A 25,060-nucleotide genomic window follows, 5' to 3' on the forward strand; every position below is an offset into this window, starting at 1 on the left:
CTGCGTAGTTAACTATGGGTGGTGTTGTGTTTTAGATGGTCCCCATCATTTCCCAATGTGGAGATATGTTGGTGAGAAGCCTGAGGCAGGAAGCAGAGAACAGCAAGTCCATCAACTTGAAAGAGTAAGTAGCACAGTCTTGAGGTTCTGAGCTGTCATGAGCCCCTCCAGCTGCCTGCAGTGGAGCTGATATTCCCACTGTTGGGTTACTCCAGTGATCGGACAAAAGCAGGGCTGTGGTGTTGCAACTCCAATAGGCCACCCAAGATGGTGTTGCTCACAAAAGAAAGCTAGGAAGCTGAGAGAAAAGGATCTTCTCCCCTGTGCACAGGAGCCAGGAATAACTTATCTGTTACATTGTCCCCTTGGATATTCCAAAAGAATAATACATTGTGTAGAAAGAAAAAATAAAAACCTGATTGTACTAAAGTTTTGAGCATAGACGTTATGGAGTGGTGGGAGGGGAAGGTGTTTGATAGCTGTTGGCTGGCAGTGACTGGGGCAGGAAAGTTACAATGAGGAAGTTGGAATAACTTCAATCCCTTCATTATTTTGCTGAGGATACCACCAAAATATGAAATATTAAACCTTCCCACCACTTCTAATTTCTTTTCTCCAATCTTAAATTTTAAAAGACTCTGTAAAGGCTATAGGTAGGGCAATGCTATTGTTTGTTGTCTGAACTGGAATGTAATTTGAATTATGCTGGAACAACATGTGTAAGCTGAGCCTGTCCTGGGCAGACTGGGGACATGTGGTCACTCAGCTATGGGATGCCCCGATCAACTTTGGAGTGATCTATTTGTTTAATCAATATCACTGTTAGTTCTTACTTTTACAAAAATAATCTGCCCTCAGAGCAACCTCAGATCCCAGGAGTTGGGGAAAAGCAGGTGTTTCAGGAGGCTTATCAGGGAGTGCAGCGGAGACATGACGTTCACAGCAAGTCTGAACAGGGTGTGGCTGTTCTATAAAGTGCTGAAGAGACATCAGCTCTGGGCGTAGACTGTGGGGTCTGGCAATGTCAAATTTATTGATTGGCCGAGAAAGAGTTAATTATTTTATTCTTGTCCTGCAGAAGCACAGTGTTGACACACCTTTTACCATCCACACTCAACACAAACTACTGTAATTGTCTGATTATTGGGTCTGTGTCTCCCTATGACTGAGGTCCTTGAGCTCAGAGGTGGGTCTAACTCACCTTAGTGTCTCCATCACTCCCAGCACAGGGCCAGCTGCATCACTGATACCCAATAAATGCCTCATGAGTATGATGGGAGATGATGCAGCAGATTGTTCTGATTGTGTGTGGGTTTTCACCTGTCTTGCTCTGGCATAGCACTTCTTGCTGTGTGTATAGCAGAAGGAAGGTAAAGAGGTGCTGGTTTTAATTTTCCATGTTTTACTCTACTCAGTTTCTTTGGGGCCTACACCATGGATGTAATCACTGGCACATTATTTGGAGTGAACTTGGATTCTCTCAACAATCCACAAGATCCCTTTCTGAAAAATATGAAGAAGCTTTTAAAATTGGATTTTTTGGATCCCTTTTTACTCTTAATATGTATGTGGACTTTTATGTTATTTCTCTCTCTCTCTCTCTCTCATCTAATTTTTAAAAACAGTTTTATTGAAAACAAAATTCACATACCATATAATTCACCTACTTAAAATGTATAATTCAATGGTTTTTGGTACATTTAAAGATATGCACAACCAACATCATTGTTAACTTCTGGACATTTTTGTAAACTTCTGAACATTTTTTGTAAACTCAGAAACCACATACCATTTAACCATCATCCCCTTCCAATCTTCCTCACCATTTTTTTTTTTTTTTTTTTTTAGACAGAGTCTCGCTGTGTTGCCTAGGCCGGAGTGCATGGTGCGATCTGGGCTCACTGAAACCTCCACCTCCTGGGTTCGAGTGATTCTCCTGCCTCAGCCTCCTGAGGAGCTGGGATTACAGGTACACACCACCACGCCTGGCTAATTTTTGTATTTTTAGTAGAGACGGGGTTTTGCCATGTTGGTCAGGCTGGTCTCGAACCCCTAACCTCATGATCCGCCCTCCTCAGCCTCCCAAAGTGCTGGGATTACAGGTGTGAGCCACCGCACCTGGCCTTTTTTTCTTTCTTTCTTTCTTTTTTTAAACAGAGTCTAACTCTGTTGCCAGGCTGGAGTGCAGTGGCTCAATCTCGGCTCACTGCAACCTCCGCCTTCCAGGTTCAAGTGATTTTCCTGCCTCAGCCTCCCAAGTAGCTGAGACTACAGGCATGCGCCACCACACCCAACTAATTTTTGTATTTTTAGTAGAGACGGGGTTTCTCCATGTTGGCCAGGATGATCTCGATCTCTTGACCTTGTGATCTGCCTGCCTCAGCCTCCCAAAGTGAGCCACCATGCCCTGCCTTCCTCACCTTTTTTATGTTGCCCAGGCTGGTCTTGAACTCCTGGCCTCAAGCCATCTTTCTGCTTTGGCCTCCCAAAGTTCTGGGATTACAGGAGTGAGCAACTGCACACAGCCCCAAAACCCCCCTCAGCTTTAAGCAACCACTAATCTACTTTCTGTCTCTAGATTTGCCTAATCTAGCACACATCATATAAATTGAATCATATAATATGTGGTCTTTTGTGACTGGCTTCTTTCATTTAGCATTACATTTTCAAAGTTAATTCATGTTGAAACATGGATCAGTACTTCATTTCTTTTTATGACCAAATAATATTTCATTGTATAGATATGCTGCATTTTGCGCTAGGTGTAGTGGCTCATGCCTGTAATCCCAGCACTTTGGGAGGCCGAGGTGGGCAGATCACAAGGTCAAGAGATCAAGACCATCCTTGCCAACTTGGCGAAACCCTGTCTCTACTAAAAATACAAAAATTAGTCAGGCATGGTGGCGGGTGTCTGTAATCCCAGCTATCAGGAACCTGAGGCAGGAGAATCACTGGAACCCAGAGGTGGAGGTTACAGTGAGCTGAGATCGCACCACTGCACTCCAGCCTGGTGACAGAGCAAGACCCCGTCTAAAAAAAAAAAAGATATGCTGCATTTTGCTTATCCATTCATAGTTGATGGACATTTGTGTTGTTTCTACCTTTCAACTATTGTGAATAGTGCTGCTGTGAATAGTTGTTTACAAGTTTATGTTTGAATACTTGATTTTTCTTCTTTTAGGTATATATTCAGCAGTGGAATGGAGGCGTTTTATAGTAGTAATTCCATGTTTCACTTCTTAAGGAGTTTCTAAACTGTTTCCCACAACAGCTGCACCATTTTACCAGGAGCATATAATGGTTCTAATTTCTCTACATTCTTGCCAACACTTGGTTTTCTCATTTGTTTATAGACACCTTACTACATGTGAACTGGTCTCATCGTGATTTTGATTTACTCTTCTCTAATGGCTAATAAAATTGAGCAACATTGGCCATCTTTATATCTTCTTTAGATAAATGTCTGTTCAAGTCTTTTGCCCATATACAGCTGAATTCTTTTTGTTAATTGGTAAGAGTTCTTTACATATTCTACATACAACTTCCTTCTCAGGCATATGATTTGCAAAATTGTTCTCCCATTCTATACATGTCTTTTTACTTTCTTGATATTGTTCTTTGAACTTTATCTTCTTTGAACTGTATCTTCTTTGAACTTCTTTGAACTTTAATTTTGATGATGCACGATTTGCGTATTTTTCTTTTATTGCTTATCCTGTAGGTATCAAATCTAAGAATCTATTGCCAATTGTGAGCTCATGAAGATTTGCCCTCTTGGTTTTCTTTTAAGGGTTGTATAGTTTTAGCTCTTCTGTTTAGGTCTTCGATGCATCTTGATTTTCATTTTATATGCCGTGTGACGTAAGAGCCCAGCTTTATTCTTACACTTGGCTATCCAGTTGTCCTAGGACCATTTGTTGAAAAGACGATTTTGTCCCCATTCAATGATCATGACACCTTCCTCAAAATTCAGTGGACCAGAGACATGTGGATGTATTCTGGACTGTAAATTCTATTCTGTTGAACTATACTTCTATCTTTATGCCAGTATCACATTGTCCTGATTATTAGAGCTTTGTGGTAAGTTTTGAAATTGGGAAGTATGAGTCCTGCAACTTGATTCTTTTTCAACATTGTTCTGGCTACTCTGCATCCCTTACAATTCCAAATCAATTTTAAAATCAACTTGTCAATTTCTACAAAGAATCTAGCTAGGATTCTGATAATACATTAAATCTGCAGATCCATTTGAGAAGTATTGCCATTTTGACCTTTTTAAGTTTTCTAATCTGTGAACACGGGGTGGTGATTCCTTTTATTTAGATACTCTTTCATTTATTTCAACAGTGTTTTGTATTTTTCAGAGTCTGGGTTTTGCACTTTTGTTAATGTTATTCCTGATAAGTGTATCACTAATATTTTGATGTTATGGTAAATACAATTTTTTAATTCCACTTTTGGATTGTATATTGTAACGTACAGAAATACAGTTTATTTCTGTATATTGACCTTCTATCTTCAAATATTTCTGAACACATTTGTTAGTTTTAATAGGTAAATAGAAGTGCTGAGAGAGGTATCCTTGTCTCATTCATGATCTTAGGGGGAAAGGTACTAAGTATGGTTAGCTATGGGTTTCATAGATGCCCTGTATCAGGTGGAAGAATTCTCTTCTATTTTTAGTTGCTGAGTGTTTTTATCACAAAAGTCTTTTGGATTTTTGTCAAATGCTTTTACTCATACTGAGACGATTGTGTGTTTTCATTTAATTGACATGGTATATTACACAACCTTGTTTCCCTGGGGTAAACCCCTCTTGGTTATGGTATATAATTATTTTTATATGTTGCTAGATTGATCCAGTTTGCTAGTATTTTGTTAAGGATTTGTGCATTTATATTTACAAGATATGTTAGTCTGTAGTTTCTTTATCCTGTGATATATTTTTCCAGTTTTAATATGATGGTAATACTGGCCTTATAGAATGAATTTGGAAATGTTCCCTCATTTCCTAGTTTTTGAAAGTGTTTGTAGAATGGATATTAATTCTCCTTTAAATATTAGGTAGAATTCATTATTGGAACTATCTGGCCTGGCCTTTTCTTTGTGGGTAGTTTTGATTACTGATTCAATGCCTTTATATGTTATAGATCTATTCAGATTGTCTGTTTCTTTCCAACTCAGTTTCTGTAGTTTGTGTCTTTCAAAGAATTTATCCATTTTACCTGTTATCTAATTTATACAATTGTTCTAATAATAAAATTGTTAAGAGAATATCCTTATGCTAATTTTTATTTTTCTTAAATGTCAATAGTAATTATTTCCCTTCTTTTATTTCTGAGACTAGTAAACTGAGTCATCTCTTATTTCTTCATCAATGTAGCTAAAAGTTTGCCAATTTTGATGATATTTTCTTTTGTGGTAAAATTTGAGCTTTTTTTTTGAGATGGACTTTTGCTCTTGCCGCTCAGGCTGGAGTGCAATGGCACGATGTTGGCTCACTGCAACCTCCACCTCCTGGGGTCAAGCTATTCTCCTGCCTCAGCCTCCAGAGTAGTTGGGACTACAGGCATGCAATACTATGCCCGGCTAATTTTTGTATTTTTAGTAAAGACAAGGTTTTTACTGTTGGTCAAGCTGGTCTCGAATTCCTGACCTCAGGTGATCCACCTGCCTCGGCCTCCCAAAGTGCTGGGATTATAGGCGTGAGCCACCGCGCCCAGCCTTGAGCTTTATTTTTTATTTTTAACTTTTGTGGATACACAGTTGGTGTATGCATTTATGGGGTACACGAGATGGTTTTGATACAGGCATGAAATGTGAAATAAGAGCATTATGGAGAATGGGGAATCCATCCCCTCAAGCATTTATCCATTGAATTGCAGACATTCCAATTGCACTCTAAATGATTTTAAAATGTACAGTTATTATTGACTGTAGTCACTCTGTTGTGCTATCAAACCATAGGTCTTATTCATTCTTTCTAACTATTTTTTGTAACCTTTTATTATCCTTACCTCCCCCGCCCCCACTACCCTTCCCAGAGTCTGGTCACCATCCTTCTACTCTCTATGTCCATGAGTTTTGAGTTTTGATAATTTTTTTTTTTTTTTGAGACAGAGTCTCAAAAAAGTTGCGTGATCTAGGCTCACTGAAACCTCTGCCTCCCGGGTTTAAGCAATTCTCCTTTCTCACCCTCCTGAGTAGCTGGGATTACAAGTGTCCACCACCATGCCCAGCTAACTTTTGCATTTTTAGTAGGGACGGGGTTTTGCCATGTTGGTCAGGCTGGTCTAACTCCTCACCTCAGGTGATCCACCCGCCTCAGCCTCCCAAAGTGCTAGGATTACAGGCGTGAGCCACCGCGCCCGGCTGATGATATTTTCAAGGAACCAATTTTTGGTTTTCTTTATTGCTTTTAAATCTGTATTTCATTAGGTTACACTTTAGTTTTTATTATTTTCCCCCTTTCTGCTGGCTTTAGTTTTACTTTGCTCTTCATTTTTCAGTGTGTTATGGTATACATTTAGGTTATTGATTTGAGATTATCTGACATTCACAACTATAAATTTCCCTCTGAACATTGCTTTGGCTACATCCCATACGCTTTGGCATATCATGTCTTCATTTTTCTTCATCTCAAAACAATTTCTAATTGTCCTTTTGCTTTCTACTTCAGCTCATTGGTTACTTAAAAGTGTATTGTTTAACTTCCACATATTTGTGAGTTTTCCAATTCTCTTTTCTCTCTCTCTCTTTTTTTTTTTCTTTCGAGAGACATTTTCATTCTGTCACTCAGGCTGGAGTACAGTGGCACAATCTCAGCTCACTGCAACTTGCGCCTCCCTGGTTCAAGCGATTCTCATGACTGGGTCCCAAGTAGCTGGGACTACAGGCACATGCCACCATGCCCGGCTAATTTTTGTATCAGTAGAGATGGGGTTCCGCCATGTTGGTCAGGCTGGTCTCAAACTCCTGACCTCAAGCAATCTGCCTGCCTCAGCCTCCCTAAGTGCAATTCTCTTGCTTTTATTGATTTCTAGTTTCATTCCATGGTAGTTGAAGGACATTTGCCGTATTGTTTCTATCCTGACTACTATTTCATGGAAAAACATGATTCATTAAAGCAGCAGGCTATCCAAAGAGACTCTAGTCCAGTAGATAAAGGCTAAGAAGTCAGGGAATTTAATTCTGTTCCTTTGGTCACTCTGAAGATGCAGAAGGGACCACTGATCTCACTGCTATAGTGGAGGCCCCTATGTGTGGATCTGCTCTTGCTCAGCCATTGGCATGGAAGAGGGGCAAAGGTCATACAGGAAGAGGGGCAAAGGTCATACAGGAAATGGATCCTGGTTGAGAACCCTGAAGTCTATAGGTAGAGAAAATTGTAATTGTTGTAGGTAAATTTCACATTTTTCACTATGATTTATTTTTTCTTTTTCTATTTAATTTTCCTATAGCACTCTTTCCATTTCTTACCCCAGTTTTTGAAGCCCTAAATATCGGTTTGTTTCCAAAAGATGTTACCCATTTTTTAAAAAATTCCATTGAAAGGATGAAAGAAAGTCGCCTCAAAGATAAACAAAAGGTAAAATCTGGTGGTGGTGACATGAGAATGTTCACTTTTTTATTATATTTTTGGGCTGTTTACATACGATTTGTGCACTTATCTGTGTTTTTTAAAGGCAGCTAGAGAACTTTAGACCAAGAGGGTTTTTACATTTTGCTGGGAATAAAGAAGGTGAAGCTTGGGGAAGAAAGAGAATGAGTGAAACAGCATTTGGAATTTAATAATAGGCATGACTTTAGTATATTATGGCATAAATAATGTAGAGATAGAAGCTTTACCGCTTCTCTTCCTTTCAGTAAATTGTCAATAAATTTGACTGTATAAAGTTGCCAATAAATCTGACTGGATAAAAATGACTGATAAAATTATTTTATGGGTATTACAATTTCCCTAGTTCTTATATTAGTAAGGAATCATTTCAAGTCCAAGCCTGTTATTTTTACACCTTCTTCAGCAGGAGTCCCTACCAGGCTACCTGCAGAAGTAAGTGTATGTTAAATTTCAGTCCTGTCATAGCCTGGACTGGGCAGGGGTCTTCTCTGGGCATTGTGGGTGCAAGCTGACTGATCCAACTTTGCCTTTATGAGCCCTGGAGACCAGCCCGATGATGATGCCTCAAAGTCAGGAATGCAGGACTGGGTCCCCTAGGTGACACTGAACGTTGTATAGAGTTCTAGGAGTGGGGAGTATTTGAAGATGCATTCAAATCAGCTCCCCTGGGATTATCCAGAGATTAATCTATTTGTCCATTGGTTAAGAATAAAAGCAGCAGAACAAATAGGATTGAAATTCAGGACTTCTTCCTGTTCAAGAAATTATGACTAGAGAATGAGCTGACAACTCTTTGGCCAGGAAGTTGTGTCCAAAGGCCAGAGAAGCTGAGGATCAGGGAGAGCAAAGACTAAAAAGCAGATAGACATGACAAAAGGATTTCTCTCAAGGAAACATCCTGCTCTCCAAGGTTTTAGATGCATGATTTTATTCTAAACATTGGTGACTCAGGCAACACCCATTACACTTCTGAACTTAAAGAGAGCATATTCTCAGGAGGGGTGCTTAGGACTGGACTCCTGATTCACTTCTGACTTCACAAGTGACTTTCTGTCATTAAAATTTCTCTTTTTGCTTCCAGCATCGAGTAGATTTCTTTCAACAGATGATCGACTCCCAGAATTCCAAAGAAACAAAGTCCCATAAAGGTAACCAAGAACTGCATCTGGGGGCTACTGATGGGGACACTCAGAGAGAAGGCCCTGTTCTGAAAATGTGCAGAAAGTTTTCCAGGAAAATGAGAATTTCTTCCACATTGCAGAAAGGCACACATTTGGATGTTATAAATGATAGCTGGAGGCACTTTCTAGAAGCACACAGGCATAGCCACATTCCAGGCTTGAAGGGCAACCCTGAACAAGTGTGGCACTCCCGGAGGTCGGTCAGTGATCTGTGGATCACCCACATCAGATAAAATGCCAGTTCTCAGCCTCCTCCAGATCCACTTACTCAGAACTTGGAAACGTACATCTAACATCCAATCAGGAGACACACTGTCCAAATAAGGGTGATTTTAACTGGAAACACTTGGTGAAAGTGTGTTCACAAGGTTAATCTACTGACGGGTTTTATTTTTCCCTATATAATGGAAAAGTAACTGTGAGAAAACCTTTAAGACTGTGTAATGTCCTTTTCCTCTTCAATTTTTCACCTACTAGTTTTACCACCCATGGATGGTTTTGACTGAAACCATCATTACTATGATGGTCGCAAAATAATGACCATGATCGATTTCAAGCCATCAAAGTTTGACAACCATATGACATAATTGTGAATATTAACAATTAATTCTAAAGAGCAGGAAGTGGAGGCTGGGCATGGTGGCTCACGTCTGTAATCTCAGCACTTTGGGAGGCCGAGGCAGGTGGATCACCTAGGGTCAGGAGTTCGAGACCAGCCTGGCCAACATGGCGAAACCCTGTCTCTACTAAAAATACAAAAACTAGCCGGGTGTGGTGGCGCACACCTGTAATCCCAGCTATTTGGGAGGCTGAGGTGGGAGAATCACTTGAACCAGGGAGGCGGAGGTTGCAGTGAGCCAAGATCACACTACTGCACTCCAGCCTGGGCAACAGAGTGAGACTCCATCTCAAAAATAATACTAAATAAATAAAATAAGTAAAAATAAAGAGCAGGAAATGTTTAACTCAAACACACCATTGTAAATATATCTATGTCTTCATCTACTTGTCTATCTATGTGTCATCTATCATCTGTCCATCTGTCCCAGTGCAACTTTTTGTGAAAAGGGAAACAGTCTATCGTTTTGTTGCTCAATACAGACATCACTAGATACATGGCTATTGAGTACTGAACATGTAGCTGCTGCCAATGAAGAATAATTTTTAAGTATATCTAATTTTAATTAATTAAATTTAAGTAGCCACCTGTGGCTAGTGCCTACCCTACTGGGTAGCAGATCTACACTTTGAGATTATGATTTCATTTCAATTCCATGTCCTGGGGTTCATGCCAACTGAATAAAATAATTGGAAAGTTGAATTTACCCACAACATCATCATGAAAATTATCACCAGTAAATCACAACTCTGTAGACCTTTCTCACACTCATCTTGTATTGTTTTCAGTTATGAAATACATGGTTGGAGTGGGCACCATATTTATTTTAGTACCCTAGGTCTCTAAAGTTCTTAATCCAGTCCTGATCAAACAGACCAATGGCTGACTGTGCTAAGCTTTTCTTGGGAGAAATATCAAGAGGGAGGCAAACCTGTAGTCATAAATGCTGTTCGGTGAGCATGAAGTGGAGCAGAGAGAATGGGCATGTACTAAGGAAGATGCTATTCGGGCCAGGATGGAATAGGCACTATGAATTCCACTCACTAGACCCTATTGTTTTTATATTTCATGTTGGCCAATGCCCATCTATACATGCATTCTTCCTGCTGTATTATTATTATTATTATTATTATTATTATTATTATTATTATTATTATTTGAGATGGAGTCTCACTCTGTCACCCAGGCTGGAGTGAAGTGGTCTGATCTTGGCTCACTGCAACCTCTGCCTCCCAGGTTCAAGCAATTCTCCTGCCTCAGCCTCCCGAGTAGCTGGGACTACAGGTGCCCACCACCACACCCAGTTGTGGGTTTTTTTGTAATTTTAGTAGAGATGGGGTTTCACCATGTTGGCCAGGCTGGTCTCAAAATCCTGACCTCAATGATCCTCCTGTGTCAGCCTCCCAAAGTGCTGGGATTACACGCTTGCACCACTGTGCCCAGCCTGTTTTATTAAAACCACTCATTGGACTACAGTCAATCACCTCACTTCTAGATTTTTGTCTCTGTAGCTTTCGTATATCCAGAGGTCATCCATTTTGAAGACTAGTGCCCTAGGAACTCTATTACTTGATGTCACTCAAAGATGTAATCCATGCTTCTCAAGCCATGCTGGGCTCACAAATTACCACATCTCATGAAAGTTCAGATTTTGATTCTGCAGTTTGAGGGTAGGGTTTGAGATTCTGCATTTCTGATAAGCTCCCAGATGCTGCTGGTGCTGCTGGTCCATGGACCACATTTTGAGTGGCAAGAGCCCAATATTCTTCCCTTGGGTTCCCGCAAACATGCTTAGAGAAAAGTTCCTTTATATTTCCCTAAAATCAAGCCTTAGTATTGCAAACTGTCTCATTGTTTGTCAAGCTATATTGTAGCTAGAGTAATTTAAATCTTCCCTGGGGAGAATGTTACTCCACGTTTACTTATAGATAAAGAACTTCTATGATTATCCAAGGGACATCCCTATAACACTGAGTATGTTAGACAGAAATGCTCTCTTTGAAAGTTACCCAGCTGTGCAGCTGGTGGGGATGGTATGATGAGGAGTGAATGGCCCACAATCGTGTAGACCCTGGAAAAAAAACTGGATTAAAGTGACTTTGCCTTATTCTGGCTCTGTAGGATACACATCAGAGTGAAGCCACCCGCAGTGTGACTCTGAATTGCTTTTCTATTTTTGCTCTTAGGGATTTGGGAGCTTCACTGGAATTTTGCTTCATCTAAACTGTGATGCTCTACACTAACCACTTTTCCTAAAATATATTTCCTCTCCTTTCAGCTCTGTCTGATCTGGAGCTTGTGGCCCAGTCAATTATCATCATTTTTGCTGCCTATGACACAACTAGCACCACTCTCCCCTTCATTATGTATGAACTGGCCACTCACCCTGATGTCCAGCAGAAACTGCAGGAGGAGATTGACGCAGTTTTACCCAATAAGGTAAGGGGATGATCCCCTGGAGAAGGAGGGAGAAGGTGAAGCCTCAGCAAGAATGCCTCCTCACCACTTGCCAGGACAATTTTTGCAAAAAGCGTAAGCATCAGTTCTTTCATTTACACTATGCAGAAAGGCTGTAAAGAGTAAAAACAAAGGGAGAATCGTAGGTAGTGGATGCTTCTTGCGTAAGTGTAAGATCTTTGTGAAACAGTGCTGGTCCTGCTGCATCCGTTGTCTGTTAGCAACATAACACCAAGTAAAAAATATCCAGAAATCTCAATGACAACTAAAAACAATCATTTATTGCTCACAAGTCTGGATAGTGAGCTCTGCTGATATTGGCTGGACTCGCTGTGGTCTGGCAGTGGTCTGATGGAACCTGGCCCTGGGTGCGCTGGGCAGGCTGACTCAGCTCTGCCTCACACCTCTCTCTGCTCCAGTCAAGTAGCTAGTGGTGAAGAAGCCAAGCTAGGACCCAGGGTGCCTGACGCCTGGGCCAAACATTTAACCTCTACAATATTACCTTCCAAATATAACACCAAATGCTAGCCACGTATTACCCACACTGTTTCCAGAATTCTGCCCAAATTGGAATTCTTTATGGTGTAACGAGATCTGGCCTTGGGGCTGGCCCTGGTTTGGCAGTGAGGTGAACACAAAGGAATGTTCATCTAAGTTCATAGTCCAGGCCTGAAGGAACAAGTGGGAAATTGTTCGAGAAAGACAGGATGGGGCTGCCCGGAGGGTTCCTATCCTGTTTACAACTCTCAGTAGCACTGAAATTGTGTGCCCTGTCCAGTTATAAAGTTCTTTTGTCATATTTGGGTTACAAAAGAACTAGTTTATCCCCAAACTATTTATAGGGTTTTTATATAACATAGTGTTACTCTCCACATTTTTTTTTTGCATGGAGTCTTGCTTCGTCGCCCAGGCTGGACTGCAGTGGGGTGATCTCGGCTCACTGCTACCTCCGCCTCCAGGGTTCAAGTGATTCTCGTGCCTCAGCCACCTGAGTAGCTGGGATTACAGGCGTGCGCTACTATGCCCGGCTAATTTTTATAGTTTTAGTAGACACAGGGTTTCACCATGTTGGCCAGGCTGGTCTCAAACTCCTGACCTCAAGTGATCCACCCACCTTGGCCTCCCAAAGTGTTGGGATTATAGGCATGAGCCACCATGCCTGGCCTAAACAGGACTTTTCCATTTTAAATGCTTGTATGAAATAGAGGATTTGCTTTTTACATTTTCTTTTTCCTTGGTACAGATGCATAGCCTCTCTTTGGAAAGGTGACACTGGCTTTGGCATATTTTAGGTGATTCAAATGGCCATCGTCTATTAGTCATGTTTGTTCTCCCAAGAAAGAAAAAACACGAAATGGTAATGTCAAGGATTTCAGTCTCTGTGTAAGTGATTGTGCCAAATTCATAACTCCTCCACACATCTCAATGGGCCATCGAGCACATCACTGGGTATGGAGAATTATTAAAATAATTTATAAATGCAACAATCTTTTACCAGAATGAATTATTCTCTGGAGCTCCTAACACTTCAATAGTACTGCATGGACTAAGTTGAAAGTTAATTCCCAATCTCAATTTATCCAAATCTGTTTCTTTCTTCCCAGGCACCTGTCACCTACGATGCCCTGGTACAGATGGAGTACCTTGACATGGTGGTGAATGAAACGCTCAGATTATTCCCAGTTGTTAGTAGAGTTACGAGAGTCTGCAAGAAAGATATTGAAATCAATGGAGTGTTCATTCCCAAAGGGTTAGCAGTGATGGTTCCAATCTATGCTCTTCACCATGACCCAAAGTACTGGACAGAGCCTGAGAAGTTCTGCCCTGAAAGGTACAAGGCCCCTGGGAAAGGAGCCTTCCCTCAACCAGCCTGATTCAAGTATATTCTGCCTCTCTCGATGCACATGGCAATCATTTGAATATGTGCCTTTTCATTTTGGAAGTTTTTTATTACAAAATGATAACTGTTAAACTTTACAAACCATAGATTAAGAAACACCTTATAACAACCCTCATTAACTATGTAATGCCTGTCTTGTAGGCATTTTTCTATGCATAGACATTTTTAAAAACTAGTATACTATCACATTTTATTTGAGTTTGAACTGCTGCTTACTTCATTTCAAAGTAAACCATTACCTATCTACTATCTTACGTTACTACATATTTCTATATGCATAAGCTATAATTCATTTCACCATAATGTTATTTTGAGTATATAAGCTTGTTATTCATTTCAGTTTTTCTTTGCTGTGCCCTTTAGCTCTCTGAATTTAGCACCACGTTTAGGACATGTTTCCACATTCCTTTTTCTTTCAACATTGCTTGCTGTTTTCCGTAATGTAACTGTGAAAGTGCAGGCTGAGATCCTGAGACATCCTCATCCCTGATGGTTTAAGCCACTTCATTGAGGACAGAGGGAAGCAGAGGTTCTCCTGGTCCTGTTTGTGTCTGCAGTCCTGTGCCGGCTCCCTTGTACTCTCAGTTGTTGATGACTCTTCCAAAGCAAAGTCACCTGCTTTCTAGACTTCTCAGAAGTTCTTCCTTGGAAGTGTTGGGCATGATATTCTGGGAATTCAGAGCCAAGGTCAAGCTTTGGGCACAATTTGCACTCTGGAAATAGTTGATATTTTCCCATTTTGGAAAGGAAAATTTGGAATGAACTTTGTAGGGCACTGGCTGGTGAGGCCTGGGATCTAGACTTTTATTGGCCCCTAACTATAAACTTCCCAATGGCAGGGACCTTGTCTTGTTAGGCATGCTGTCTCTACTGCTGGCACAGACTCTGTACATAATACTTGTTGGAAGAGCAAGTCAGAATTGACCAATTTCTCTGTTTTCTGGAGTAGAGGACTTCTGTGTTTCCTCCATCTTGGCACTTCCACCTCCTGTGGCTGCACCAACACAAAATCAGAGACCACTCATTGTACTTCTCTTTGCATCATTCAGTCACCAAACAGATAGTAAGTGGTTACCGTGTGTCAGGAACTGGGCCAGGCAGTGAGAAATCCATATACTAAAAAAAGTCTGTTGTGAAGAATGTTTGACATACACATAACTATATTCTATAGACACCAGGCTATAGAACAGTATTAATGCATCCCCCTGTGTTCATCACCTGTCTCAGTAGTCAATGCTGCATGTCAGCTTCCCTGTCCACACACCACCACAATCCTCTCTGTGACTACAATGTTATCTTGAAGAAATAACCTGTAAATATTTCAGAATTTTCTCTAAAATATAAGTAGTCTTTTAAAAACACATAACCACAAGGGCATTATCACTTTCCTCCATCAAAATTTTTTCACAATATAATCAAATATTGAGGAATCAAATTTGAATAAACATGGGTTTAACCTTCAAAAATTGTATAGCCGGCCAGGTGTGGTGGCTAACACCTGTAATCCCAACACTTTGGGAGGCCAAGGAGGTCCTCGCCTCCCAAAAGCCACCACACCCTGCATAACGTGTAGTTTTAATAGTTTTTATGTTTCATTAACTAGTTTTTATGTACTACTGTGAAAGTAGGTTCAGTAAGAAGAACAAGGACAGCATAGATCTTTACAGATACATACCTTTTGGAGCTGGACCCCGAAACTGCATTGGCATGAGGTTTGCTCTCACAAACATAAAACTTGCTGTCATTAGAGCACTGCAGAACTTCTCCTTCAAACCTTGTAAAGAGACTCAGGTCAGTAAACTTTCTTATAAATAATGTTTATTGGGAGTTTTTTAAACTGAGAAGTCTACATTTTTTAAAAATTATTGTTCATTTTTCAATAATTTGCTCTGTAGGACAAAGAATCTAATTGGAGCTATCCATAATGCTTAAAGATGAATCACTTCTGGAGTTCAAAATCTGTGGCTTTGTAAAGACAGAACTATAAAGATCATCTAATGTCAATATAGATTAGCATGGTATAATTATGTTCAGTCTCTGTGAACTTGAGCAAATTTTAAATTCAGTTTCATGTCAACTGTAAAGATGAGGAAGTCTTTTGCACAATCATGAAGTGCAATGATTACTTTGTCAGGACTTTCGAATGGTGCTCTCCTCCACTAGAACTCACTAGAACTTGCAGAAGCTTTCTCATGACAGTGTTTCTCAACCACTAGCTGTACATTGGAATCACTGGGGAGCTTCAAAAATTCATGATGCCTGGATCATCTCACAAATTCTAAACTAATTTGCCCAGAGTTGTGGCTTTAAAAGCTCTCCCATTGGTCCTCATGTGAAGCCAATGTTGGGAATCACTAATTTAAGGCATTTCTGCCAGATAGAAAAGATACTTACAGTCCAAGGCCATCCTGACCATTTGACCTTATCTTCCAGGAGCACTGCTTCGCTGCTTCATACAAGCTGTGCATCTTTTCAACCCAATAATAGCTCTATGAATGTTCTTCTTTTCCTTCTCATTATGTTCCTATCCCACAAGTCCTACATCAATTCCCCAAGCCACTCTAAGAAACCTTCCCCATCGAGTACAGGGCCAGTTATTCTTCTGCTTTGTTACTGTTTATTGCAGGCTGTTATCATCACCTAATCTTATACTTTTCATTAAACCACTCAGTTTTATTCTACAAGTCTTTTCTCTATTCTAAGAATTTCTCCTCTCTGCCCCATTTATGTTGTTTTGTTTTAATTCTTTCATAAAAGTCCAATAGTGTCTTGCAGAGGACATTATCCATTGCAGGCATTCCACACATGTTTAAGGAGTGAGTTTCAGTTGATTTGGAGTTCTTGGATACAAGTTTTAAGCTGTTTAATTTTTAAATTTAATATGTGACATTTGTATATTTGAGTGTGTATGTCTGTCTGCAGGAAAAACATTCATGCCATTTGAAATTTTAAAATAATGAGTCACATTAATAGAAAGATATGGAATCTTTCTCTGAAGAACTTAATGAACACTTGTCATTTATTTATATCAAGCAAGGCCCTATAAGCCTTATTTCTAGGACTTGTGCATTTACTATGCAACTCCTATTCTAAAGTAGGCTTTGTGCATGGGAAGGAAGAATAGATAGGGTTTCAATCTTATTTGTGGCTTTAGGGAAGCTGTACATCCATCCTCTAAGTGTGTACAGACAGGGGCTCAACTCTGAATAAAAGCAGGTCTCTGGCACACATGGGATGGGGTGATACTCCCTGGCAATTTCCCAAGCATCTACTAGCTGGCACTTTTCAATTTCCATGACAATTTGCCTGCCCTTCACTTAACTGACATCAGAACATTTCTCTGCTGGCTGCTCCCCTGACACTGAAGTGACTTGGGAGAATGAGGGCTCAAAGTATTAGTCAAAACACTATAGGCCTTGAGAAGCTTCCCATTTGCATTTCCTTTGGAAATCAAGAGAAGAAGTAAAAAACAAAAGCATAATGCTTCTTGAAGATCTCTTCCCATCATTACACTGGATAGGTTCAGTTGGATGGAGTTAGTGAATGCTTAATAAGTTGAAGACTGTCCATATAATTGAAATATATAACACCTACTGAGGATTACCTTGCAAGTTTCATCATATACAAAATTAACTTTATATGGCTTTTCCAAAATAGTTTAACATAATGCCTAATAATCTGGATTTGATTTTTTAAAATATCTCTTTGCTTAAAATTTAAATAAAAAGGAACAGAAGCCAGCATGAACAATCTCAAGCCTGGCACAGAATAGATACTCAATAAATATTTTGTTAAATGATGAATGGTAAATGCTTTCACTATCCAATCTTCACAGAGCTAACTGAACAAGTACAAATAAACCAACATGTATGGTGCTGAAAGTAGTTTTTTTTTAGTCATTGCAAAGCATTACCCTTGATGTCATCTTTTTTATTTTGCTTCTATCTTTTCTTCATTTGCTTCATTGTTTCTGAATATTCTTGTTTAACTTTTGCAGATCCCACTGAAATTAGACAATCTACCAATTCTTCAACCAGAAAAACCTATTGTTCTAAAAGTGCACTTAAGAGATGGGATTACAAGTGGACCCTGACTTTCCCTAAGGACTTCCACTTTGTTCAAGAAAGCTGTATCCCAGAACACTAGACACTTCAAATTGTTTTGTGAATAAAACTCAGAAATGAAGATGAGCTTAATTAACCTAGTATACTGGGTGAATAATTAGAAATTCTCTACATTCATTGAGCTCTCATTGTCTGGGTAGAGTATTACACGTTGCATACTACAAAGCAGGTGACAAATCAATGCCAAATAAGTACAGTCATCTTCTCTAGTTCTCATAAGACTATCTCCCCGCCACCTATAGTTAGTACCCTCAAGTCCTCCTGAGCTGTGATCAGAGAATAAACATTTCTCAACAATTTTACCAACAATTTTTAATGAAAAGGAAAATTATACTTGTGATTCTCGTAGTGACATTTATATTACATGTTCCATTTGTGATATTCTATAATAAGTATTATATTGAGAAAGTCAACAAGCACCTCTTTACAAAACTGTTATCTGATGTCTTCCTGCATATTAAGGATGAATCTACAGAATTAGATCAATAAGGATCAACAAATAAATATTTTTGGTCATTATAATTGCTGGTTCTGTGGGGTCTTTTACAGGACTCTAACTTGATTATTAATCTAGGTGTGAGTTAAACCACTGTGACTTTGCCCATTGTTTAGAAAACATATTCGTAGTTTCATTGGGCCTCTTTTGAAGCACATATTTTGGTAACATTCAACTTAGGAACTTATTTTTACATTATTAGTTTTGATTTAATGTTATATCTCATCTCACCTGATAGTGCTGGAAGGCAGGGAACATGTTTTCCTATACTTGTTCTATTTCACCTTTAACTCCCAAATGTTTTAACATAATGAACACCGAATAAAATGTGGTTTATTAGTCAACTGATTCGGCAGCAAAGCTAAAGGCATTCATCAGTTTCAGCTGGTATCAGAGGCTGCACAGAGTTCTTCCTTTTCCTTTTCTGCTTCATCCCAAAGAAATGGGGCTATATATTCCCAAATTTTCAAAATAATGTTGATATTTTGACCTCCTCCCATGGCTCATAAATGCTCTCAATGGCATCTAGAGTAGTAAATCCTTTCCAGAAGGCTTTCAATTGACTTTGCCCAGATCCATCAGAGGAATTACTATCTAATTCCTCTGTAGCCTTATGAAATGTATTTCTTAAATAATAAGACTTGAAAGTTAAAATTACTCTTTTATCCACAGCTGCAGAATGGATGTTTTGTTAGTAGGCATTAAAGCAACAATAATCTTTTTGTCATCTTCATTGGAGCTCTTGAGTGACTAAATGTATTATCAATGAGCAGTGACATTTTGTTTTGTTTGTTTCTCTTTTATTTTATTTTAGGTTTCAGGATACATGTGCAGAACATGCAGGTTTGTTACATAGGTAAAGGGGTGCCATGGTTTGCTGCACCTATCAACCTACCACCTAGGTATTAAGCCCCACATGCATTAGCTATTGGTCCTGATGCTCTGCCTCCCCCACCCACTCCCAACAGGCCCCAGTGTGTGTTGTTCCCTGTGTCCATGTGTTCTCATTGTTCAGCTCCCACTAATGAGTGAGAACTTGTGGTGTTTGGTTTTCTGTTCCTGTGTTAGTTTGCTGAGGAGGATGGCTTCCAGCTTCATCCATGTCCCTGCAAAGGACATGATCTCATTCCTTTTTATGGCTGCATAGTATTCCATTGTGTATATGTACCACATTTTCTTTATTCAGTCTATCATCGACGGGCATTTGGGCTGATTCCAAATCTTTGCTATTGTGAATAGTGCTGCAATAAACTGGCTAAGTCTACCTGAAGTCAATTGTTGTCTAATTTTATCTGTGTTGTAGACATTTTTAAAATCATCTCAAGAAGCTAGACCAGCACTATTTGCTTGGGAGTTGTGCTTATGTAAAGAAATGTGACTAGTAACAGATACAAGGTTTAAAAAGAAAAAAAGTGAAATTAATAGTAATATGATAACTCTAGTTTGCATAATGCTTATAAGCCATGAACCTAGGCTTAAAGGCAAGTAATTAAATAAACCAAATGACCATAAGGAATTAGTCGAGACAGGTTGTAACCATGTGGCCAGTTTTTCTTATTTTGTGTATATGGGTCTCCACTTTTCCAGAGTGAGGACTAAGCCCTGAGTTTTTTCATCTTGCCCAAATTCCTATCCACAGGGTCTAGGGAGTCATGCCCTACAAACCATAAATTCTCATCAGATGGGTTTTATTTAACCCTATATATCGTGACTTACTTTCCAATCTGACTCTGGCATAACATTACGTGACAAAGAAGAAACTCAAAATATTTTACCCCAAAACATGTTTCTTTGCCATATCTTGAAATGGTCCTGCAAAGCTGTCCTTTGTGGGGGGAAAATTTGCATCTGTAAAGAATCTCTTTTTATCATGTAGCTAGATCTTTTTCTTCCAGGCCCTCCCAATCCTGAAGAGATGAAGTAAGAGTCTAACACCTTTTAAAGGTCTGAATGGGAAATATTTGTCATCTATTGTCTCTAAGGGCAGTCACTGTAAAACCTCAAAAGAACCCTGGTCTCCACAACCTGTTTTTTTTTTTAATCTTAACCTGAACATTTCCTTTCTATTGATCCCAGGTCTTTAGACAAACTCAACCAACTGTCAGTCAGAAAATATTTAAATTTACCTATAGCCTGGAAGCACACACACCCCCAGCATCCCACTTTGAGTTGTCCCACCTTTCTGAACCAAACTAATGTATTTCTGAAATGTATTTGATTGATGTCTCATGCCTCTCTAAAATGTATAAAACCAAGATGCACCCCACTACCTTGGGCGTATGTTCTCAAGACCTCCTGAGGGCTGTGTCACAGGACATGCTCACTAATATTTGGCTCAGAATAAATCTCTTCAAATATTTTACAGAGTTTGACTCTTTTCATCAACAAGAGGAAATTACCCTAATAGAGCATGTAGTATTAGCAATAATGTTACCGGAAAGGGGTCCCAATCCAGACCCCAAAAGAGGGTTCTTGGATCACTCATGAGAAAGAATTCAGGGCAAGTCCATAGAGTAAAGTGAAAGCAAGTTTATTAAGAAGTAAAGGAATAAAAAATGGCTACTCCACAAGCAGAACAGCAGCATAGGCTCCTCCTTGGCTATTTTTATGTTATTTCTTGATTATATGCTAAACAAGGGGAATTATTTGTGAGTTTTCCATGAAAGGGGTGGGCAATCCCCAGAACTGAGGGTTCCTTCCCTTCCTAGACCATATAGGGAAACTTTCTGACATGGCCATGTCAATTGTAAACTCTCATGGCACTGGCGGGAGTGTCTTTTAGCATGCTGATGCATTATAATTAGCATATCATGATCAGTGAGGATGACCAGAGGTCATCTTCCATCACCATTTTGGTTTTGGTGGGCTTTGGCCAGCTTTTTTTTCACATGCTGTTTTGTTTTGGTTTAGGTGGTTTTTTTGGAGACAGGGTCTCACTCCATCACCAAGCCTAGAATGCAGTAGTGCAATCTCAGCTCATTGCAACCTCTGTCTCCCAGGGTTCAAGGAATTCTCGTGCCTCACCCTCACTGCCACCCCCACCGCCCTGAGTAGCTGAGACTATAGGCATGCACCACCACACCTGGCTAATTTTTGTATTTTTAGTAGAGACGGGGTTTCACCATGTTGGTCAGGCTAGTCTCGAACTCCTGATCTCAGGTGATCCTCACACCTCAGCCTCCCAAATTGCTGGGATTACAGACATGAGCCGCCGTGCCTGGCCTCACCTGCTATTCTTTTAGAGTTGTAATGTGTTGCTTGTCTTTTCCTCTTAACAAGTATTTTATTGCTTTTATTGAGCAAATGAAAGCAATGATCAAAACAGTGCTAGTGAAAGAATGTTATTCTGTCTTCCCAAACTGGAGGGTAGACATTCATTTTTTTAATTTAAATAGTTATTTAATTTTTATTTGGAAATATATATTCACAAAAGTTGCCCCAAAAATGTACAGAGATGTGTCATGTACTCTTCATTCTGTTTCCCCCAATGTTAATGTCTTCCATAACTGTGTATATAGTATATTCCTATTACTCTAGTAACAAGAAATTGACATTGATATAATCCACAGGGCTTTAGTCAGATTTCACCAGTTTTATGAGCCCTCATTTGTGTGTATGTGTGTGTGTGTGTGTGTGTAGCTTTATGCAAATTCATCGCATGTGTAGATTTGCATAATGCCCAGAAGAATCAAGATACAGAACTGCCCCATCGGCGTGTGACCCTTCTGATTCTCACCTGCTATTCTTTTATAGTCATAATGTGTAGCTTAACTTTTCTTTTTCACAAGATTTTTTCATTGCTTTTATCAAGCAAAACTTTATTTTAAGGGGACCAATTTATCAATTTTTCCTGTTATGAATTGTGTTCTTGGTATTGAGTCTGAAAATTCTTTGTGTATCGCACCCCACCCCCGATGTTTTTGTTGTTTTTCTAAAAGTTACATAGTTTTATCCTTTACATTTAAGTCTATGATTCATTCTGCATTAATTTTTGTATAAGGTATCAGGTTTAGATCAAGGTTCGTTTCTTGGGGCTTATGGCTGTTCATTGTTCCAACACCATTTCTGGAAAGGCTATCCTTCCTCCACTGAATTGCTTTTGCACCACTATCAAAAATCAGTTGGGCCGGGCGTGGTGGCTCACACTTGTAATCCTAGCACTATGGGAGGTTGAGGCAGATGGATCACTTGACATCAGGAGTTCGAGACCAGCCTGGCCAACATGGTGAAGCCCCATCTCTACTAAAAATACAAAATTAGCTGGGCGTGGTGGCGCATGCCTATAGTCCCAGCTACTCAGGAGGCTGAGGCAGAAGAATCGCTTGAACCCAGAAGGTGGAGGTTGCAGTAAGCCAAGCTCAAGCCACTGCACTCCAACCTGGGCGACAGAGCAAGACTCTATCTTAAAAAAAAAAAAAAATCAGGCCAGGCACGGTGGCTCACGCCTATAATCCCAGCATTCTGGGAGGCTGAGGCAAGCGGATCACGAGGTCAGGAGTTGGAGACCAGCATGACCAACATGGTGAAATCCCGTCTCTACTGAAAAATACGAAAATTAGCCAGGCATGGTGGTGTGCACCTGTAATCCCAGCTACTCAGGAGGCTGAGGCAGGAGAAATGCTTGAACCAGGGAGGCGAAAGTTGCAGTGAGCCAAGATCGCGCATTGCACTCCAGCGTGGGCGACAGAGCAAGACTCCGTCTCAAAAAGAAAAAAAAAAATCAGCTGGGCCTATTTGTGTGCATCTACTTCTCATTCTCTATTGTGATCACAGCGTCTTGACTATAGCAGCTGCACAGTAAGTCGTAACATTATTGAGAGTGATTTCTCCCACTTCATTTATTTTTTTCAGAAATATTTTATCTATTGTTGGTCCTTTGACTTTCTATACAATTCAGAATAAACATCGATATCTAAAAATAAACTTACTGAAATTTTGATACAAATTGAAATAAACTTACAGATCAATATGAAATAAATCTATATCTTTACTATGTACAATCTTGACCTTATGAACACAGGATACCTCTCCATTTCCTTTCCTTCCTTTCTTCCTCTCATGTACATTTTGTAGTTTCAGGATAGTGAGATGTTTTGTTAGGTTTATACCTAAAGTCTTTAATTGGAGGGGTTATAAATCATATAGCATTTATAATGTGTTTTCACATATTCATTGCTGTCATGTAGAAATGTGTTTGACTTTTTATGTGTTGATCTTGTATCTTACAATTGTGCTAAATTCACCTATTTTTTTTGTTTTTGTTTTTGTTTTTTGAGTCTTACTCTTTTGCCCAGGCTGGAGTGCAGTGGTGCGATCTTGGCTCATTGCAACCTCTGCCTCCCGGGTTTCAGCAATTCTCCTGCCTCAGCTTCCCGAGTAGCTGGGACTACAGGCATGCACCACCACACCTGGCTAATTTTTGTATTTTTAGCAGAGACGGATTTCACCATGTTAGCCAGGCTGGTCTCAAACTCCTGGCCTCAAGTGATCCACCCACCTCAGCCTCCCAGAGTGCTGGGATTACAGGCATGAGCCACTAATCTGCCCCATCGGCGTGTGACCCTTCTGATTCTCACACCGCACCCGGCCTGAATTCATTTTTTTATTCCAGAGTTCCCCTTGCATATTCTTTGAGTGTTGAGATGCTCCTGATCATACTCTAGTACGGAGATGTGTTCTTGAGAAACCTGAGACAGAAAGTAGAGAAGGGCAAGCCCCTCACTTTGAGAGTAAGTAGGAGCACAGCCATGGAGTTCTGAGCTGTAATGAGCCCCTCCAGCTGCCTGCCATGGAGCTGATATCCCCACTCTTGGGTTAGTCCAGTGACCAGACAAAAGCAGGGCTGTAGCGTTGTGACTACAATGGGCCACCCAAGAGGGGACGGCTCCCATGAGAAGACAGGGAAGCAGTGTGGCATCGGGAGTCAGGGGGATTATTTTCTCCTCTGTTCACAGAAGCCTAAATTTATTCATCTGCTAAATTGTCACCATGGATATTCTGGAAGAAAAATACATTTTCTAGATGTAGTACCTACATCAACAGCATCAGCACTACTTGGGATTTATTAAAAATGTAAATTCAGAGTTTTTGAATCAGAAACTCTGAATCAGAAACCCTGGAACTAGGGCCCAGCCAACTGCTTTAACATGACCTTCAGATGATTCTAATGTGTACTCATGTTTGAGAATCGCTGCTGTAGAAGAGCATGAGAACAAGGAAGTAACATGAAAGAATTTAAATGCAAAGGAAATGGAAAATGAAGACTCAATGAAGTAGGAGTTAAAGTGAGTGTAGCGTTCAGTGAAGAAAGTGTTTCAAAAAAGGAAGGCATAATCAACTTTGTCAAAGGCTGTTGGGTACATTGAAAATTGGTCATTGATCGCTTCTTGGCCTTTTGGCTAAGAGCAAGTGAAAATTGGCCATTAAATGTGGCCACAAGGAGGCCATTTGTGACAATCATACTAATGGTTTCCATAGATTGATGATGACAAAAGCCAACTGAAGTGAGCTCAGGAGAAAATGGAAGCAGAAAAAGTGGAAATAACAAGTAAAGAAAACTGTTTCGGCCGGGCACGGAGGCTCACGCCTGTAATCCCAGCACTTTGGGAGGCCGAGGCGGGCGGATCACGAGGTCAGGAGATCGAGACCATCCTGGCTAACAT

At 40.0% G+C, this 25,060-nt stretch overlaps 1 protein-coding gene and 1 pseudogene across 10 annotated transcripts in view, besides 1 other annotated feature; both read left to right on the forward strand.

Annotated features, from left to right (window-relative positions):
- The window catches only part of CYP3A43 (cytochrome P450 family 3 subfamily A member 43), a 38,081-nt gene extending 20,118 nt beyond the window's left edge, over nt 1–17,963 (forward strand). For 5 of the 10 annotated variants that reach the window (NM_022820.5, XM_047420745.1, XM_047420746.1 and 2 more), the window contains 8 exons: nt 36–124; nt 1,416–1,564; nt 7,461–7,588; nt 8,703–8,769; nt 11,700–11,860; nt 13,483–13,709; nt 15,404–15,569; nt 17,776–17,963. In NM_022820.5, coding sequence (NP_073731.1) covers nt 36–124; nt 1,416–1,564; nt 7,461–7,588; nt 8,703–8,769; nt 11,700–11,860; nt 13,483–13,709; nt 15,404–15,569; nt 17,776–17,871 — 1,083 coding nt within the window. In that variant the 3' untranslated portion in view covers nt 17,872–17,963. Of the gene's footprint in view, nt 1–35; nt 125–1,415; nt 1,565–1,848; nt 1,970–7,460; nt 7,589–8,702; nt 8,770–11,699; nt 11,861–13,482; nt 13,710–15,403; nt 15,570–17,775 lie in introns of all 10 variants that reach the window. The other 5 variants (NR_103869.2, NM_057095.3, NR_103868.2 and 2 more) reach the window with 5 other exon arrangements.
- Nucleotides 12,142–12,342: a silencer, noted in NCBI's record as "peak6657 fragment used in MPRA reporter construct". NCBI's record gives its function as "represses an SCP1 promoter by STARR-seq MPRAs in K562 erythroleukemia cells {active_cell/tissue: K562}" and the evidence as "EXISTENCE:reporter gene assay evidence [ECO:0000049][PMID:32103011]".
- On the forward strand, nt 24,038–24,128 carry CYP3A52P (cytochrome P450 family 3 subfamily A member 52, pseudogene; annotated as a pseudogene).

The sequence above is a fragment of the Homo sapiens genome, chromosome 7, assembly GCF_000001405.40.
Source record: "Homo sapiens chromosome 7, GRCh38.p14 Primary Assembly".
Lineage (NCBI taxonomy): Eukaryota > Metazoa > Chordata > Mammalia > Primates > Hominidae > Homo > Homo sapiens.